The 20061-nt window shown below is 45.4% G+C and overlaps 2 protein-coding genes and 1 long non-coding RNA gene across 38 annotated transcripts in view, besides 2 other annotated features; 2 read left to right on the forward strand and 1 right to left on the reverse strand.

Annotated features, from left to right (window-relative positions):
- The window catches only part of PAQR5 (progestin and adipoQ receptor family member 5), a 108869-nt gene extending 97002 nt beyond the window's left edge, over positions 1–11867 (forward strand). For 19 of the 21 annotated variants that reach the window (XM_047432749.1, XM_047432747.1, XM_047432748.1 and 16 more), the window contains 3 exons: positions 1555–1651; positions 4061–4202; positions 7668–11867. In XM_047432749.1, coding sequence (XP_047288705.1) covers positions 1555–1651; positions 4061–4202; positions 7668–7909 — 481 coding nt within the window. In that variant the 3' untranslated portion in view covers positions 7910–11867. The remainder of the gene's footprint in view (positions 1–1554; positions 1652–4060; positions 4203–7667) is intronic. The other 2 variants (XM_047432753.1, XM_011521727.3) reach the window with 1 other exon arrangement.
- Positions 991–19116, reverse strand: KIF23-AS1 (KIF23 and PAQR5 antisense RNA 1). Of its 3 annotated transcripts, NR_132970.1 has the most exons (3): positions 18239–19116; positions 5060–5114; positions 991–1835 (listed from the first exon to the last, which is right to left on the reverse strand). It is a non-coding gene; the product is annotated as a KIF23 and PAQR5 antisense RNA 1 (long non-coding RNA). The 3 variants fall into 3 exon arrangements; NR_132971.1 differs by lacking the exon at positions 5060–5114; NR_132969.1 differs by lacking the exons at positions 991–1835; positions 5060–5114 and adding an exon at positions 7369–8367.
- Positions 18436–20061, forward strand: part of KIF23 (kinesin family member 23) — a 34079-nt gene continuing 32453 nt past the window's right edge. For 13 of the 14 annotated variants that reach the window (NR_160295.2, NR_160296.2, XM_005254797.4 and 10 more), the window contains exon 1: positions 18436–18563. Coding sequence is in view for 10 of the 14 variants with exons in the window: in XM_005254797.4 (XP_005254854.1) it covers positions 18553–18563 (11 nt within the window). In the remaining 4 variants the exon portion in view is untranslated. Of the gene's footprint in view, positions 18564–19114; positions 19197–20061 lie in introns of those variants that run through there. The other variant, XM_047433369.1, reaches the window with a different exon arrangement.
- Positions 18606–18725: a silencer, noted in NCBI's record as "silent region_6598". NCBI's record gives its function as "represses an Ori minimal core promoter by ATAC-STARR-seq in GM12878 lymphoblastoid cells {active_cell/tissue: GM12878}" and the evidence as "EXISTENCE:reporter gene assay evidence [ECO:0000049][PMID:35858748]".
- Positions 18756–18835: a silencer, noted in NCBI's record as "silent region_6599". NCBI's record gives its function as "represses an Ori minimal core promoter by ATAC-STARR-seq in GM12878 lymphoblastoid cells {active_cell/tissue: GM12878}" and the evidence as "EXISTENCE:reporter gene assay evidence [ECO:0000049][PMID:35858748]".

Below are 20061 nucleotides of genomic sequence, written 5' to 3' on the forward strand. Positions count from 1 at the left end.
CTTGGGAGGCTGTGGGGCTTCTCCGGGCACACAGTGGTGTCCCTTTCTCCTGAAACAGGAATCTCCGGGTGGGCCATTTGTGCTCGGTTGCCCTGAGGACTGAGTGGAGCACAATAGCCTGGAGAATGTCCGCATCCTCAGACCTGCTTCTGTGCTGGGTCCCCAGGATCCAGGCCTGACCAGATCTGGCACCTGCCTGAGGAGGGTTCCCTAACTGCCCAATGTGGAAGTCCCTGCATACTCCATGCTGAGAGATACAGGCAGCAGCTGGGTTTATGGTCAGGTGGCTTTACTGGCTCATACGAGATATGAACAGCCTGGCCAGGTGAAATCGGTCTGGGCTCAGAGGAAACAGCAGATGGCATTTGAAGGAGAAGGAACAGGCTTGTGGACTGGGACCGAGGTTCTTGGGAGCAGAGATAGGAGCCACAGCAGGACACAGACCCCATCCCTCCAGTGTGATAGGGGGCAGAACTGTCAGCAAAGGCTGAAAGGGCCCAGATGCATGCATTGCCTTTACAGACTGCATCAGAACAGCCATCCCAAGAGCCTCAGCGTGTGGCTGTGCATCCACTGTGCTGGGTTCCTTACCCTGCAGCCCTGTGGGCCCCAAGGGAGGACACAGCCCTCCACAGTACACCTCAGCATTGATGTGGGGACTTTACCTGTCCCTACTACCTGGCCTTGGTGGCCCAGCCAGGGCCCATGAGCACTTCCTTACCCAGGCCTCAGTTCAGGGCTGTGATTTTGTGCAGAGACCCTCCCTGCCCCTCCCCATGTCCTCCCAGTGTGCAGCCTGCTGTCTGTGCTACCCAGTTCCCCATACCCTGAGCTGCTGCCCCAGGCTGGGCCCAAGTCAGCTGAGGCCCTGTCATGTTCTGTCTGGGGGGACCTGCCTCTCTTCTCAACAATCAGCATCACTTGTTTTAATGTTGCTGTCAGCTGTCTTTGGATTGGAGGTTGGGTGAGGGTGGCAATGAAGAAGAGAAGGAAAGACTTCACGTTTATTTAGTTTTCCCAAGCCAAGTATCCCTGTGTGTGGTATAAATATTCCAGAAAGCTCTCCAAGGGTCAAACACCTACTTGAACCCAGGTCTCCTGCATGATAATACCTGGGCTCCAACTAGATGGGTGCATCTCAGCCTCTGCAGAGTGTGCCCCCCAAGAGTCTGTGGCAGTGGATCCCCCGATTCCCCCTACCCGTTCCCTGTCCCTGTAGCAACTAGAGTTTTAAAAGGTTCTTTGGCAGTTACATAACTTGGCCCTTGAAGGGTTTCTGCCCAGCGCCTCCTTTCTGGCTTAGTCTGGACACCACTGCTTCCCATGGTCAGGAGATGGTGTCCCTGGAGATCTTTTTGCATCTGAAGTTTTGTCACTTCCATTGGGGTGGGAGGAATGGACGAGGCTGGTGGAGAAGCTGCTGGCCACAGGAGCTTGTAGAAAAATGCTTGTCCTCTGTTGATGACCAGGCCCTCGGTGTGCATGCATGTGCGTATGCAATTTGCTGAGACTCTTTTCATTCCATTTCCTCCCCACTTTCCTTCCCTGATTTAGGTTTCTTGAAATCCAGAAGCCCAGACTCTGTAAGGTGATTCGTGTCCTCGCCTTTGCTTATCCGTACACCTGGGACTCCCTCCCCATCTTCTACAGGGTAAGGACTGGCTGCATCTCCTCTCTGCCTGTTGGCAACACCAGGAAGTCAGTTGTTTTCCTGAGCTTCTGGGGGGTCACAGCACTGCAATGGGAACCGCAGAACAAAACAGGAGTCGAGACCCAGGTGAAGGGGGCCAGCCCCTCCACACCTGTGGGTATTTCTCGTCAGGTGGGACGAGAGACTGAGAAAATAAATAAGAAGATTTTTCTTAGTACAGATCAAAATGGAGTTTCTTATGTCTTCCTTTTTCTACATAGACACAGTAACAGTCTGATATATCTTTCTTTCCCCCACACCCAGGTGCTGCCTTGGTGGCACTTGAGGAGTGGTTAGGAGATGACATAAGCACAGAGGCCCTGACTGACAATATGACTGGGGGCTCGGGAACGTCATAGAACAGGCAGCCTGGGGCTGAGTGGAGTGAGCAGGAGAGCGAGCTCTGCAGGCAGGTCTCCAATACTTGCTGTCAGTCCCTGGGCCAGTTCTCTATGCCTCGATTTCCTTCATCTGTAAGCTGGGCCTGATAACACCTCATGGGCTGTGGGGAGGATTACACGGGGAACATGTCAAGTGCTGACTGGTAGCAAGAGTTCGGGAATGCATTGTTCCATCATCAAGTAGTATACTGTTAGTATTGAAGGAAAAGGCATGAATGAGGGTCTTAAAGGAGCGATGGGAAAGAGATGGAGAGCATAAAGGAAGAGAGTGTAGGAGGGACAACAAGTAGGACTAGAAGGGGAAAGTCCACGCACTTTCAAACCATACGGGCTTGAGTTCAAATTCTGGCCCCACTGCTCACTGGCTATGTGACCTCAGGCAGGACACACAACTCTCTAAGCCTCAGATTAGTTTCCTCATCTGTACATAAGGGTACTAGGCCTCCTTTGTAGGGGAAAACAATGGATCTGATAGGCTCTGCGGTGCCTGTCCAGTACCCGGTGAGTGAAGCTCCCTCCTAGAGGCAGCGTCCTGTGGGCTTGAAGAATAAAGCCCAGATGGCAGGGCTGAGGGACAAGGGGAGGGGCTGAGCTCCACCCAGCAGCTGGGGCATTGAGCACGTTCTCTGTGCTCTGCCTCTGTGGGTCTGGGAGAGCGCCAAAGATGGGGCTGCAGCCCGTTCCCCTCACTCCTTCCTCAAGGGCGCAGACCACACACAGGAAACCAAGAGCAGACAGAGCAATTCTGTCCCATGTACCTCCAAATCAGGCAGTGCAAGTCCTGTGTTGTGACAAGCATCGTGTGCTTCTGGCATGTGGCTGAGTCAGAGGAGGGCAGAGGGAAGGGGAGGTCCAGTTCTAAGTGGTGATGTTGATGCTGGAATCAGCCTGCCTGGATTCAGATCCTGACTTCACTTCTCACTAAGTGATGTGCAAGTCACTCTCTGGCCCACCTTCCTCACCTGCAAAATGGGGAAGATAGAGTCTGCCTTATGATAATTGTGGCTCAGGTGAAATGATGCATGTAAGAGGCCTGGCCTGCTGCCCTCGGTAAGTGGTGGCTACTATGACTTTATAACAATAATACAAAAACTATACTTAGCTCTGAAACAGTATAGTGGCCATCATTGATACTTTTGGATGACTCAGAAGGCCTTCCAGGGATTTCTAGGCCTTAAAGCCTTAATTAGGAGCACCAGTTCAGTGGATGTGCTGATAAAAAGTGAGTTCCAGTGTGAATCCACTAAACAGTTGACCCTTAAACATGGGTTGGAACTTTACATGGATTTTCTTCCACCTCTGCCACTCATGAGACAGCAAGACCGACCCCTTTTCTTCTTCCTCCTCCTCAGGATTTTCTCAATATCACTTGCTTTTCTCTAGCTTACTTTATTGTAAGAATACAATATATAATACCTACACAAAATATGTGTTACTTGGCAGTTTGTTACAGGTAAGGCTTCCAGTCAACAGGAGGCTATTAGTAATTAAGTTTGGGGGAGTCAAAAGTTGTACATGGACTTTTGACTGCAGGGGGTCAATGCCCCTAGCCTGCATGTTAAGAGTCAACTGTACTTACATTTTACCCCAGAAAGAATACCAATTATCTAATAGGATTTTTTGTCTTTCTTTTCCTTTCCCATTCCTTTCTTCTTTCCTTTTTCTCTCCGATTCAGTTAAGTAAATAAACCAAAAGACTCTCATGAGTATTTGGGGGATTGAAATACAATAGTCTCGAGTCTCAATCGACCACACTCAGGATAGGAGCTCTGCTCACATGGTGCCTGAGTTTCCTCTACCAGGTCACAGACCTGAGGAGGTGAGGGCCTTGGCCTCTGGAGTTTGTGTATGTGTGCTAACATGTGTGGGTGTCAGAGCCCCCAAAGTCCCAGATGCAGGTGCTGAGAAGGAAGAGGGCCTGCCTCAGGCCTGTCCTCTCAAGACCTGATGTTTCTTTAAACACCTGCAGCTATTCCTGTTCCCAGGGGAGAGTGCACAAAATGAAGCCACCTCGTACCACCAGAAGCACATGATCATGACCCTCCTGGCCTCTTTCTTGTACTCTGCACATCTGCCAGAACGCCTAGCCCCTGGACGCTTTGACTACATCGGTGAGTGGGCAACAGCCCTGCTGCTCTGCTCATTGCCCTCCTGACTGGGGAGGGTCCTGTCCCTGACTCCAGTGCACGTAGCTGCAAAGGGCAGGGAAGGGCAGAGAGAGAGGCCAAGGCGAGTAACATTGCAAGTTGACAGAGGTCAGGATGTCTGCAGCAGGTGCATTGTTAGGTAGCATGGGCAGGATGGAGGGCAGGTGGGCCCAGGAGCCTAAAGCATTCTGATGGGGTATGGAGCCAGTGTGTCTTATTGTCATCCAGAACATGGAATCCCATGATTAAGTGAACATTGGGGCTGGGCGTGGTGGCTCACACATGTAATCCCAGCACGTTGGGAGGCCAAGGTGGGCAGATTACTTGAGACTGTGCTCAAGACAATCCTGAGCAACATAGTGAAACTCCATTTCTACAAAAAATACAAAAATTAGCTGGGCATGGTGGCGTGCACCTGTGGTCCCAGCTACTTGGGAGGCGTTGGTTTGAGCCTGGAAGGTTGAGGCTACAGTGAGCCATGATCATGCACTGCACTCTAGCCTGGGTGAGAGAGATCCTATGTGAAGAGAAAAAGTACATTGGGAGCAGCCGAGGAGAGGAAGAGGAAAGAAAGGATGAAGATGGCTCTGAGGGTACCAGACAACAGGGGGCTGTGCAGAAAAGGGAAAAGGGGAGAAAGCATCTTTCTTTGTCTTGAGCATGGTGGACGGGAGGGGGCCAGGGGTTCAGGGTAGAGCAGTGGTTTCTCCAGGGGTGGTCATCAGCCAGCAGCATCAGCATCATCTGAGAACATGCAGATTCTCAGGCCCCACCACAGACCTCCTGAACCAGAAACGCCAGGAGTGAAACCCAATACTCACACAGAGGCCGAGTCATCCTCCAGATGAACCTGAGCTCACTTAAGTTTGAAGTGATCTGGTGGAGAGAAGGTGTCAGAGTCACGGGGGTTTCCACCTGCTGGCAGAGTTCTTTCCCCGCTCTGTCTAGGGAAGGAGGGGCGGGTCCCTGCAGAATGTGCCTCCTCCGCTCTGGCTCTGGGACTGGCTAGGAGGAGGAACCCTTGCATCATTTCTGGTGAGGCTGACAAGACTTTGGGGTGAGAGTTCCTTAGGTGAGTACATGGGAATCAAAGGGCCAGTCATTGTCCCCACCAGGGCAGGAAGCTTGCTTCTCCCCAAGCCCATTTTGTTCCTGATTTTCCATCTCCTCTCACTAAAAGATGTGGCCAGATGCAGTTTGTTTGATCTGATTAAAGTTTTATCTCCTTTTCTTCTTTTGTTGTGTCAGAAGGGGTTGTAACTAGTAAAATGCTTAGAGAACAGATTTCCAAAAAGGAGGAAAAGGAGAGGCCAGGGAATCGGAGTCACCAGCATCCTGACTGCCATGTCCACCTCCCCAGCCCCGCTTAATGAAGTAGAGGTGGCTGTGTAGCAAGTTTTGGGGTTGCAGGAAAAATGGCCCTGGGCCTTCTTTTGCTACCACTCAGGTTTCTTAATAACATTTTATTCACCTCTGTCCCATCCTCTTGGGCCTAGGGGTACAGAGCTGAAAAACACCCCTCTGGGGGACATTTCCTAGAAAATAGTTCATGACAGATCATTAACAAGATTTGGAACATTCTCAGTCCTTAACTAACAGAGTCTGCTGGAGGTGGGAATCCCTCTCTGCTCCTGCTCAATCTTCCTAACTCTGCTCCTGCTCAATAGTAGAGGTGGCCAGGCCGGTTCATTCCTAGGACACATTTATTGAATATTTCTTCTGAGATAGGTCCTGGGGGTGAAACACTGAATTTTTTATTTTTCTAGAGATGGGATCTCACTGTGTTGCCCAGGCTGGTCTCAAAACTCCTGGGTTCAAGCACTCCTCCTGCCTTGGCCTCCCAAAGTGCTGGGATTACAGGTGTGAGCCACCATGCCCAGCCTTTTTATTTTATTTTTTTTAAACCAAAAGAGAAACCTTATTTAACTCTTATGCTGCATTAGTTTGCTAGGGCTGCCATAACAAAGTATCACAGACTGTTGTGGCCTAAACAACTGAAATTTATTTTCTCACAATTCTGGAGGCTGGAAATCTGAGATCAAAGCGTTGGCAAGTAGGCTTCTCCGGAGGCCTCTCTCTTTGGCTTGTCGATGGCCGTTCTTTCCAACTGTCTTCACATGATCTTTTTCTTGTATACGTGCATGTCTGTGTCCTAATCTCCTTTTCTTTCTTTTTTTTTTTTTTGAGACGGAGTCTCGCTCTGTCGCCTAGGCTGGAGTGCAGTGGCATGATCTTGGCTCGCTGCAAGCTCTGCCTCCCGAGTTCACGCCATTCTCCTGCCTCAGCCTCCAGAGTAGCTGGGATTACAGGCACGTGTCACCATGCCCGGCTAATTTTTGTATTTTTAGTAGAGACGGGGTTTCATCATGTTAGCCAAAATGGTCTCTATCTCCTGACCTCGTGATCCACCCGCCTCAGCCTCCCAAAGTGCTGGGATTACAGGCGTGAACCACCGCGCCTGGCCTAAACTCCTTTCCTTATAAGGACACCAGTCATAGTGGATTAGGCCCATCTTAGAGACTTCATTTTTATTTAATTATTTCTCTAAAGATCCTATCTGCAAATATGGTCTCATTCTGGGGCTTAAGACTTCAGCACATGTATTTTTCAGGGACATCATTCAGCCCATAACACATGTGGTCGCCTCCTTACTCCTGGGGTCTGAGGGTTGTCCCCCAAAGCTGCCCCCGACCCTAGGCATTGGATTTGTTTTCTCACCAACCACCCAGCACGTCCCTGTCCCTGTCACTCCCACTACCCTCTACTGGGCTCCCAGCCTCTGTGAAGGGCACCATGTGAGCTGGGTCCAGCATGGCATTGGGGAGGAAGAGTCCTGGTCATATCTGTGACTAACTGGCAGTAGGGAGAGGTCCACTTGGTTAGTGGCCAACAGAAAATTCAGCCAGCTTCTCCCTCAGCACTGAAGTGAGACTCTGAGCTGATCAGTGCTGGCTCTCAAGAGATGAACTTTGGTGCCTAATTTTTTCATCTGAAAAATGAGACTGGTGGATAAGTTGTTTTAAAAAAGAATTTGGATTTGGTTTTCTCTGATGGGCCTTTTATTTTTCCCATATTGCTTCTTAAAAATAAATTTATTAAGGTATATTTCACATATTCAATAATTCTCTAATGTCAAGTATACAATTTAATGATATTTTCAGTAAATTCACCATACATCAGTTTTAGAACATTTTCATCCCCTCCATCAGACCCATGCACTGTTAATACCTATTCTCACCCCCTGCTTGAGGCAGCCTCTAATCTACTCTCTGTCTTTATGGATTTGCATATTCTGGAGATTTTATATAATATGTGGTCTCCTGTCTGGTTTCTTTCACTTAGCATCATTTTTAGCATGAATGCCATAGCATGTATCAGTACTCATTCCTTTTCATTGCTGATCTTGACGGCCTTTTGTGTTTGCCATAGGTCACAGTCACCAGCTGTTTCACGTGTGTGTGATCCTGGCCACGCACATGCAGATGGAAGCCATACTTCTGGACAAGACTCTGAGGAAGGAATGGCTCCTGGCCACCTCCAAGCCCTTCTCTTTCTCTCAGATAGCTGGAGCCATACTTCTGTGCATCATCTTCAGCCTCAGCAACATAATTTATTTCTCAGCTGCTCTGTATCGGATTCCCAAGCCAGAATTACATAAAAAAGAAACATGACTCAGACCATAAGCTTTTCATGCCAGATGTCAACATTAAGCTGCAACATCCTAACCACCATAAGCCGGAGGTGGTTACAGCTTATCATGGCCTAAAATATTCATAATGGTTGGTGTCTTTTGAATGAATTCATGTCAAAAATGTTATTCAGCTGGGGAAATTTCTCTAAATGTACACTGATTCTGTGTGTGTGATTTTAAAAGGAGAATATGGTTCAAGCAAGTCCTTGTTAAGGCAAACTATTGATATTTCATTAATTTTAAATTTACTTAAAATGTGGTTTTAAATTCTATTTAAACATTTGGATTAAGCATATTACTCTGGAGCTTTGTATTATTCTTTAAAAATGAATCTTGCTTCATTTGATGAATTTCATGTCACAAAGCTTCTCTCAAGAGCTCTCGTAGTGGCCTGTCAACCACTTTCGGAGAATGAGCCAGGTCAGTCACTGGGAGGACCTGTGAAAGAAAGTTGGTCACTGAGTGCCTTGGGGACTGGCAAAACATTCCAGAATGAAGAGAGCTGTCTGGGGAGAGCCCTTCTTCCCTTCTCCACCTAGTGAAGGGAGAACAGAAGGGGAGTCCTCTCTTCCCACAAGTCCATTCTGCCTTCAAAGTGTAAGTTCTCATGTCATTATGGATTTGGAGTTTGTCAGTTTTTTTCTTAAAAGTCCACAGCGGGGTGTCATGTGTTCTGTTATGTTCTGTTTTCTGGTTGCCAGTTTGATCTGCAAAGTATTTTTCAGTGCAGGTAAAATGTGTTAAACCATAAGAGTTGACTGAGTTAATCCCAATTGGTTGTGCTCATATGCCACCTTTTAAACCAATGGAAATTGCTATATTTGGGGATGTCATACATTTGATATTGCTTCAGCATTTCAAATATGTTGCAAAATTTAGTATCCATATGCATAAGAAGTTAATCACCTTGCCAGTGGGGTGGTCACATATAGTGTTCTCAAGCTTTACTGTGAATCAGAAACATCCAGTAAGCTTGTGACAAATGCAGACTCCTAGGGAAAACCAGGGGGTTCTGCTTCACTAGGTTAAATGTAGGTTTTGTAGAGGAGATCTGCACTGGAGCAAGTCTCCCAGATGATTCTAATACAGGAGGGCCAGAGGCCAAACTTGAAGAACTGCTGGTGTTACATGTTCCAAAAGGCATTAGACCTATCAGCTTTGTTTCGCCTGATCTCAAGTTTTAGCAACTCACCAACTAAGGCGTAACCTCATTTTATGTTCCAGCGTTTTCTACTCTGAATAGTTCTAAAACACTGAGCATTTTCTCATTTGTTGCATTACTGATTAAAGTTCAGTATTTCATGGTGTTTTCAGGGAACACAGAAATGCGGATGCAAAACAACTTTTGACAGAGGCCCATCAAACCCAGATCTGCACTTGGTAATGACTTAGGGGGGCTTCCTCACAATGCAGGATCCTCTTTGCTGACTCAGGAATACTCCATATTTTAGACTACTGCCTCTACCATTAACTAGCCCAGACATTTGAATGGCCTTGTAAACAGCTCACTGTCTAATACTCGAAGGACAAGTAACAATTTATATTGGATGAGAGTGGTCAAGAAATATGATTTCGTTAGTTTTATTATCTGTTTACTTCCTCTGGGGAAGGCAGACTGATAAAATTATATGGGCTGGTAAATTTTTGGTACATTAATTGCAAGCTGCATGACAAAATTTGTTTTTCTGGCAACAATCTGACATTATTAGTGGAATTCCACACCAACAGGGCTTGTGAGCTTCCATTTCATCTTACTGTAACTTCAATTTTATGGCAAAAAAAGGTACAAAGTTTAAATACCCCTTTCTAGTAATGCCAAAGACATACAGTGTTTTACATTCTCTCCTTTATAGGTAACAAAATAATGTTTAGCTCAGTAAGTACTGAAATAATGAGTGACCAATTTGAAGGATTTTTAGATTATTTAATCTTTGCTTATGTTGCTTTTTCACATGCTTAATGATGGAAATGAAATGTTAAATCAACAAAATAAGATCCAGTGTTTCATAACATTTTTATAAGTTTGGTAAACTTTAGTCCCATTATATACTTTTGGGGACAGTGTTATAAATCAGAATTTTACGACAGTTTGCAGAACACTGATTTGAAAGCTTCCTATGCAAAATGAGAAGGGGTTCAAATATATTAATTATCATTAAGTATTAAATAATAGGCATTAGATGTCTAATGTGAGTATAATTTCATCCAAGCCATCTCAGAAAGTCTAAAAGGTTGGCAGGGGGTCAGCTGAAGACCTCACTGGAGTGGGTCTTAATTTTTAAAAAGTGTCTCACTACATTTAAGACATGTGACACATTCCCATTGGTAACAATTGCTCACCATGGCATTGTCTCAAAAAAGACTATGGTGGGGAGGGTGGCACATTCCTAATGGGATGTACCTCTCCCCACTCCCCTTGCTTGAGAAGCACTACTCAAAAATTTACCAGACCTTACAACTGTGATAAAACTTGAATGTGTATGATGAATAAGGCCATTCAGTTAACTTTACCTCCCTTTACCCATTGAAGGGGTTCCTTTTCCATTGCTCAGTTTTTAGAAAATAATTCTCATCTTTTTTCTAAAGAAATGAATTTGTGGCTGGTCTGAAGGTAGTGAGTTAGCTCAATTGATTGTTCGCAGTCAGTTATAGATCAAGCTCCTTGTTCTACTCTTCCCCTCTTCTCACTACTGCACTTGACTAGTCTTAAAACAAAGAAAGAACGAATGAATGAATGAATCTGTGGCTGGATGCAGTGGCTCATGCCTGTAATCCCAGCACTTTGGGAGGCTGAAGTGGGAGGACTGCTTGGGCCCAAGAATTCAGGACCAGTCTGGGCAACAGAGCCAGACACTGTCTCTATAAAAAAAAGTTAAAACTAGCTGGTTGTGGTGGTGCACACCTGTGGTCCCAGCTACTGTGGAGGGTGATGTGGGAGGATTGCTTGAACCCAGGAGTTGGATGCTGCAGTGAGCTATGATTGCGCCATTGCGCTCCAGACTGGGCAACAGGGCAAGACCCTGCCTCAAAAAAAAAAAAAAAAGAATTTGTAATTGTTGGTAGGATGTTATGGGAAATTTAGAGGTCTTCTGAGTATAAAGTGGTTTAAATATTTGGTCTGCTGAAGTCTTTCTGGAAGTGTTGTTCCCCCTGCTGCCCCGCCCAGTAGAAACTTGCTCATATGAGAGGTTCTGAGGTAGGTGCGGTGTAGTAGAATGGCATTGTCAGATATGTTCAAGAAACCCTTCATTTGACACTATTTTGTACCTTATGGTACCCTTTAACATTTTTTAATTAAAAAAAATATTTTTTGAGACAGGGTCTTGTTCTGTTGCCCAGGCTGGAGTGTAGTGTTGCAATCTTGGCTCACTGCAACCTCTGCCTGACAGGCTTCAGTGATCTTTCCACCTCAGCCTCCTGAGTAGCTGGGACTACAGGTGCATGCCACCAAGCCTGGCTAACTTTTTGTAGAGATAGGGTTTTGCCATGCTGCCCAGGCTGGCTTAGAATTCCTGAATTCAAGTGATTTGTCTGCCTCAGGCTCCCAAAGTGCTGGGATTACAGGCATGAGCCACACTGCACCCAGTCCATGCTACCCTTTTTATATGAAACACCTATTAACACGGTACAACAACACTTCAAAACATATTATTTGAATTTCGGCCTCTGATTTTCTAGTCAACAATCCATTAAGGCAAAGACCTGTTTCCAAACTCAGATGTTCTCCAACTTACACTAATGTCTGGTTTTCTTGAACTATGTGAGAGAAAAAAATAAACAGAATTTATTTATTATCATAAAGTCATCCTGTTTGCCACTTAATTTGGTTATGTTTTATCTACCACACTGCAAATATGTTAATTCACCATGAGAAACAGATCCCTGTACACATGTGTATCAGTAAATCATTCAATGAATAGTTAGTGCTTAGGATGTATAGAATGGCCACTGTCCTAGGAACTGGGGATACACAAGTGAAAAAAACCTGCAATGTCCCTCCCTAATGAAGCTAGTGTTCTGGTTGGGCAGGCAGACAGGATATATAGATGAATCCAGATAATAAGTGCTGTAAAGAAACTAAGCCTAGTAGGGCATGTGAATTGATGGTCACTCTGATAAGCTGACATTTGAGGAAGACTTGATGGGCAAAAAGGAGCCAGCCTTGTCAGCTTGTCGGGGGAAGGGATTGCAGGTTGAGCTAAGTAGAGGGGTCCCAAGGCTGGCAGGTACTTGTTCTACTGGAAGGATGTTAACTCCAGAAGATATCTGGATGACTTGATTTTTGAAGAATTCTGAGATTTTCCTGATTTTTTTTCCCTTGAGAAATTGCCTATAGGGCTTTCCTATGTCTCTTGGTACTTGTATGGAATGTGTCAACTCATAAGAAATTAACTTCAGACAGTTGCCACGCTCATTCTCTTCATGCTAAGCAACAGATTTCTGAAACAGGCTGAATTTTTTTGCCTCCTCCAGAACACAGAAGGAAAGGCCCTCAAAGATCATTTAATTCAGCCCTTTTAAAATTTGTTCGATGATGTATAATGCAGATTCTCAGGCCCAAACATACTGACACAGACTACCCACAGTGGGGGAGGTGATCCTGTAGTTTCAAATTTTTAGCTAAAGCTGTAGGTAATTTTTAATATAAGGGAGTTCAGAAGCACTGATATAGTCCAACCATTTTTAAATACAATTTCAGACTTAGAAAAATGTTGCAAAATAGTGCAAAGAATTCCCAGGTACTTTTCACCTTTTCTCCTTTCCTCCCTTTTCCAACAGTGAGAAAGCTGACTGCCATTAGCCACAATATGTTTTATTTTATTTTATTTATTTTATTTTTTTTTGAGACGAAGTCTCACTCTGTTGCCCGGGCTGGAGAGCAGTGGCACGATGTTGGCTCACTGCAACCTCTGCCTCCCATGTTCAAGCGATTCTGCCTCAGCCTCCTGAGTAGCTGGGATTACAGGCGCGTGGCACAATGCCTGGCTAATTTTTGCATTTTTAGTAGAGACAGGGTTTCATCATGTTGGCCAGGCTGGTCTCGAATTCCCGACCTCAAGTGATAGACCTGCCTCAGCTTCCCAACATGCTGGGATTACAGGCATGAGCCACCTCACCCAGCCCATGATACATTTTATCTGCTCAATCCTAGAATGTACAGAATGTTGTTTCAGAATTACCAACTAATGTCTGTGCCTACTAATTAGAATTCAAAACGTTTCAAGTTTTTTTTTTTTGTCTTGACCCTGAGGGCAAGCTTGATTCTAAATAGTCACAGTTACCTGGGTTATTTCCCCCTTTCTGTGTATGTTATTTATTTGAAATATAGTTCAAGTCATTTGTTTCTTTTTGTGTAAATTTTACAGTCCCCCAACTCCCCAACACACACACACACACACACACACACACACACACACACATCCCCAGGTTGATTTTATTAATTTGTGTTTTCTGTATGTAAACATTAACATCTAACCATTCATGTTACAAATGGCCTGGCGAGAGAGATTCATGGCCTGGGAACCTGAGACAATGTTTCTAAGGCCACTGAGTGACCAGCAGGGCCTGGGAGGGAACAGTGTGCGGAGCATGTCCAAGATCCCAAGGCAGTGCTGTCTCCATTTTACCACCTCCCCTCAAACACTCGGGGCTTCAGCAGTTTCTGGTCATTGGTGTTTACTGGGTTCCCACAGCTGGACTTGCTTATCTGGGTGTTTGGATTAATATATGATTTCGAATTTGTGTAGTGTCAGCCCCTCTTCAATGATTTGGATAAGACTCGCCTGGTCCAATTTAACAGTTTCTAATAAAGTTAAACTTACCGTAAGACCCACAATCCCACCCAAGAGAAATAAAAACACACCTACATAAAGACTTTTACACAAATAATTATACCAGTTTCATAATCTCCAGAAAGTAGAAACAACCTAAATGTCCAACTGGTGAATGAATAAATTGTCCTGCATTCATACAGTGGAATAGACTCAGCAACAAAAAGGGAACAAATTACTGGTACATGCAACACATTGATGAATATCAAAGCATTATGCTGAGTGAAAGAAAAGACATTCTGGAAAAGGCAAAAGTATAGGGAAGAAAATCAGAAAAGTCGTTGCCAAGGCCTGGGAGTAGGGGCAGCCCAGAGAATTTTCCACTGTGATGGAAATATACGTTTGATTGTGGTTACAGCACACTATATATTTGTCAAATACACATAACGATACAACTAAAAAGGGTCCATTTTACTGTATGTAAATTATACCTAAAATACTTGACTTTAGAAAGAAAAAAGCCCCTCAGTTCTCTTCTCCCCACCCTCCTACGCGCACTCCTGATCTGGATCTCTAATTCTATGGTAAAATGCAAATCTTTTAATGGCTATAGGTAGCCCTTTGCTATTTTTGAATAGAAAAATGATGTAATTATTTGGTAGTTTTAAGGAAATTAATAAGCCAGAGAACTTTAATACAGAAGTGAGGGAGGAAGAAGAAACTGGCCTGAAGAGAAGCTGGAGGTGGTGCGATGTAACTGGGTCCTCAACTGGAGCGTTCTTTGAAGGGATGATTCATTCATCCCTTCAAGCCATGTATGGGGCACCTGCACTGCTAGGCACTGGGCATGCAACGATGCCATCTAGTGAGGCTGTGGGGATAAGCCAGTAGAGGAGACAGGAATGAACAGTGACTGCCAATTGGAATGTGAGTGCTGAAACAAGTCAACAGGTGCAGTGAGTGGGAAAGGGCAGTTTTGGGGGCGTGGGGGCTGTACCACGGGGCCCAGTATCCACAGCAGGGTAGCTGGCAGATCTGCAGAGAACTGAAGGCAAGGCATTGTCAGAGGAAAGGAGGGAGGAGAGCGTGACAGCACAGAGAATGGCGTGTGAGCCCAGCGTGTTCAGGGCACTGCAGTTCAACATGACTAGAGGGGACAGGGGGCAGTGATGGGTGATGAGCCCCAGAGGAAGCGTCTCAGGGCCCTGTGGTGGGTCTCCAACAATGGGGAACCACTGCAGAGTTTCATATAGGTATGTGACATAATCAGATCCATGATTTAGAGATGAGCAAAATGGAAACTGAATTGGAAAGTGGCAGCAGAGAGGCCTGTTAGGAGACTGCTGTCTTTATCAGACAAGAGAAGATGGTGGCTGAGGAGACAGAGAAAAGTGGAGCAGTTTGGAGGTTTGGCTACTTAGTAGGTAGAACTGTTAAGATTTAGTGATTGAATATTGAGACAGAAGAAGAGAGAAAAGCTAACAATGTTGCTTTAGACTCTGGCTTGGTGGATGCCATCCACTGAGAGGGAGCAAGTTTGGGAGAAGAGATTAGAATGTGTTAGATGTGAGATGCTTGTGGGATATCGAAGTGGAGAATCCAGAAGACAGCTGGATATATGGCTCTGGAGCTCAGAAGAGCAAACATGAATGGGATGTGAAGCCATATGAGTGCTTGAGAGTGCCTAGGGAAAAGGCACACCTAGTGACCAGCTCTAAACCCTGAGCCCCAACATTTAAGGGAGAAAAAAAGAACTCACAAAGGAGACTGAGAAAGAAGGGCTAGACAGCTAGGAGAAAAAATAAAGGCATGGGAAGAAAGGAATGGGCAACATTTTTTAGTGTTGTTAAGAAGCCAAGTAAGACAAAAGTCAAATAGATTTAGCATCAAGGAAGTGGTAATTTTGGTGACAAGAGTTCCAATGGAGTCTGAGGTAGAAGCTAAACTGAAGAGCAACTAGGATATAAGTAGTCAGCAACCAAGCCCAATTCCTAAATGATAAAAATTCCAAACTCTAGGCCAGGTGCGGTGGCTCACACTTGTAATCCTAGCACTTTGGGAGGCTGAGGCAGGTGGATCACTTGAGGTCAGAAGTTCAAGACCAGCCTGGCTGAGGCAGGAGAATTGCTTGAACCCCGGAGGCGGAAGCTGCAGTGAGCCGAGATTGCGCCACTGCACTCCAGCCTGCGTGACAGACTCCGTCTCAAAAAACAAAACAAAACAAACAAACCAACAAAATACCAAACTCTAGCTTGACAACAAAGTCCTAATCATTCAAAGACTTCAACATAGGAAGCAAAGCAATAAAAGCACTAGGAAACAAAAAATGAGAAATAAAATAAAAAACTCAGAATGGATGTATTTTTCCAGTATGACACAAAACAGAAGCCATAAAAGAAAAGACGGATTAATCTGTCTACCTGAAATTTTTTCCAAGCTGTCACAAAACATATACAAATAAAAATAACCAAAATGTGAAAAATAAAAGTATTTAAACTCGTATTTTGGATGAGGACCAATTTTTTTTTAATATAAGAACTTTCACAGATCATTAAGAAAAACGAACAACCAATAGAACAAAGAGGCAAAGAATATGAACACAGTTGATAGAGAAGGAATCAAAAGGGCTCTAAAATATATGAATAGACAACATTTATCTGAAAATAAATGAAAAATTTAACTACATGTTTTTTCTCACCAATTGATATGAGATATCAATAGATTGGTAGCTACTGAAAAGTTTGATAACACTTTGAGAATTGTGGAGAAATAGGCACTCTCATACAGGCTGGTGGGAGTGTACATTTGGACAGCTTTTATGGAGAATGATTTGCAATATCTGTGAAATGTTACACATATGTATACTCTTTGACTCAGCAATTCTGTTTCTAGAAATGTTTCCTACATATTTACCTGCATTGTATAAATTTCCACATTCATTCACTATAGCTGTATCTGTAATAGGAAAAGTTGGAACCATCCTAATGTGCAATGTAGGGGTGGAAAAGGTGTGATACTTTTCTTTACCCATCTTAAGGGTCACAGCTGACACTACCATAACAAAAAACAGGTTAGCAAGATAAATGGATAACTTATTGAATCACAGTTTTATGGGATGTAAGTGCCTTCAGAAATGAAGACCCAAAGACCCAGGGAAAGCTGTCCATTTTTATGCTTAGATGAGATGAAGAATGGACAGCTGTGTAGAAATGTGATTGTACAAAAGGAGTATGATCTAATAGTAACAGACTGAAGGAGGAATCCAGCAAGTCCTGTCTGTTCAGATTCTTCTTGGCCTCTCTGTGCAGCTTTCCTTCTTCCTGAGTGTAGGGCAAGACCCTTTTGGAACGAGGGTCTTATGACAAGGTACATCAAAGAATGTCTTTATGGCCAGCTCTTACACAAAAAGGTGGGGGAAGGCTAGATTAATATTTCTAGGTTTTTCTAGAATAATGTTTCTGGCTTGCTTGGGAGAAAAGGGGTTCTAGTTTCCATGACCCGCCTTGGGGAACAGAAATTCTGGTTTCTATTATTTGCTTTAGGAGACACAGAGGGGTGGGAGACAAGAGGGCAGGAGAAAGTCAGAGACAGACTTTGCTTTTAAGGCTTCTCTGAGGCACTTTCAGTCTTCTTTAGTTCAAAGCACTCAGTGTGCCAAAGAGCCATACTCTGGGGTGTCGTTTCCTGAGCACCAACAATATTGGCCAAGGACATTGTGACTATCCTTACCAGTGCTGTGGTCCTTTAGGAAGTTGAGAAGGGGCTAGAGTTCCATGAGAGCCCAGGTGTAGATGTGTATTTGGTAGTCATCGGCTTAGGGTCAAAGACAGAAGTGATATAGAATCAGTTCATCTAAGGCAAGAGTAGGTTCAAAAGGTTGCCCCTTAAGGGTAAGGACCAAATTTTATTCATCTCCGTAAGGCCAGGATCAAACACAATCAAGATTTGATAAAACAGGCCGGGCGCAGTGGCTCACGCCTGTAATCCCAGCACTTTGGGAGGCCAAGGTAGGCAGATCACCTTAAGTCAGGAGTTCTAGACCACCCTGGCCAATATGGTGAAACCTCATCTCTACTAAAAATACAAAAATTAGCTGGGCGTGGTGGTGCGCGCCTGTAATCCCAGCTACTCGGGAGGCTGAGGCAAGAGAATTGCTTGAACCTAGGAGGTGGAGGTTGCAGTGAGCTGAAGACTGCAGTCCAGGCTGGGCGACAGAGCAACTCCACCTCAAAAAATAAAAAAGGAAAAAAAAAAGATTTGATAAAATAATGTACATATAGGACAGAGCTGGAGGGAAACCCAGGAAAGGTGAATCAGAGAGAGAAAAGACGCCAAGATAATGTGGTGACTTGGGAGCCAGAGAGACGGAGCCTGAGACTTGGAGCAGGGCACAGCACAGGAATACAACACTTTTCACCAGAACGACATTCCGACCTCTGAATCAACCCTGGAAAGGCCCTTCCATTGAACTTCTTGTGATGGAGGAAAAGAAACCCTCAGTTTCGTCATCGCAAGGCGGAAGAGTTTAAATACCATACCTCAAGATCTCCCTCCAGCCCTGACACGCGACTCCGCGGCCCTTTCAGCGTCGGTCGCCTAGGAGACAAGCGCCACTTCCGGCAGCGAAGTCACTTCCGCGGAGGTCCTGCCTCTCCCTGCGGACGGGCGCTGATTGGCCCGTTTGAAATGCGCCAGGCGGGAGCTCACCTGGGCTCTTAGCGTCGCCGCCGGCTTCGCAGAGCACCGCGCCTTAGCCGCGAAGTTCTAGTTCTTGCTGCCGGTCCTAACGTCCCGCAGTCTTCGCCAGCCAGCCGTCCCGCATGCGCGTTTGGGCGGCGTGGAGCCTGCTGCCATGAAGTCAGCGTGAGTACGAGGCCGCCGAGCAGGGAGAGAGGGCGGACGGGGGCCGAGGCCTCGGGGCTGGGGGCAGGCGTCTCCACTCAGGCCGCGGCCGTACGCGGGCAGCGCGGACAGCATCCCGCCCGGTGCTGCTGCGGCCGCGACCCCAAAGTGGGAACCTCCACGTGTGGCCGCTCCGCGGGAGCCTGGGCGCGGAGACCCCTGCCGCGTCGCCCCCCGCCGCCCCGCCTGGGCCTCCAAGGGGCCAGGAAGGGTCGGCCCGGAGCCGGGGTTGTTTTACGCCGCACCCGGTTCCCGGGGGCGGGGCAGTCCTCCTCGGGGTCCCGGGACAGCCTTTCCCTTCTCCCTCGCTGGCTGCCGCCGCCTCCAGAGTGCAGTTGGCCAACTTAGTGCGGGTCGGAGGTGGTCTCGTGTGTGGAGCAGAGCGAGTGTGCTGGGCATTGGTTAGATGGGCTCCGTTTCTGGAGAGCCCTGGCACCGGTGATCGCCGCTAGCTTTTTTTTCAGCCGAGCACCCTGTCCTTGAGGCCGAGCCCATCCGCTTACACAGGCCAGTTACTTCTGCTGTATTTTGTGGCCGCAGAGAACCTCCGCCCACATTCCTAAGCTAATATTTTCGGCGCAGCATCATTCCTGGGTAAAGAAATATTTGTCGTGCAAAGGAGAGGATTGGCTTTATTACCATTTAGGGAGTCGTTTGCAAAAGACAACTTGTTTATTAAGAGGCCGAAGTCAAAATCTTTAGATGAAAAAAATTATATATAAGAAATATACGTTGAGTTTAACTTAAGCCCACCACAAAGTATTTTGCACTGAATAACACGAATTTGCTTGTGTTTCATCTGAGAATATGTTTGGAAAAATATTTTTAAACTACAGTCGAAGCCAATAATCTTACTTAATTTTAATGTGTTAAATGTATATCTAGCCTATAGATAAATGTGAAGGGAAAAAGATGAGATGCTAGAGAAATGGTGAAATCAATCAAAATAACTTTTTGATTGCCCCTACTTAAGAAACCAAGAAATTGGCAGTTTGGGACCAGATTTTGTTTGGAGACAAAGAGTAATGTTTTGAGCATTCAATGACTGGTTGTTCCTTGAAAGTACAGGCGTAACCCTTGACGAAAGAATGGTTTCCTCCATGTGCATTTTTATAGTGTATTGAAGTTAATCGCTTGTCAGTCTGTAAAGTGTGGGCAGTTATAATTTGTAGTGCCTCTGTTAAATTGTTGCTCAAGAAAATATGCAAGCCATTTTAAGTATAGAACTAATCAGAGAATAAGTAGGTAGCTTTGGTACCAAAAATGTATTCTAAAGCAAATTTTAATTACTTTTGGATTACGCATGCCACAAACACTCTGCTACTATGATTATTAATGTTATTTGGGATGCAGTGTTTTGCAACTGCTAAGGGATAATTTACAGATAACCTAGAAAGATTGTATAAGTTTTAGGTGAGGCTTTTGTATTCGTGTTGAACTGAAAAAAAAGTTATTATTA

Source organism: Homo sapiens, chromosome 15, assembly GCF_000001405.40.
Source record: "Homo sapiens chromosome 15, GRCh38.p14 Primary Assembly".
NCBI lineage: Eukaryota > Metazoa > Chordata > Mammalia > Primates > Hominidae > Homo > Homo sapiens.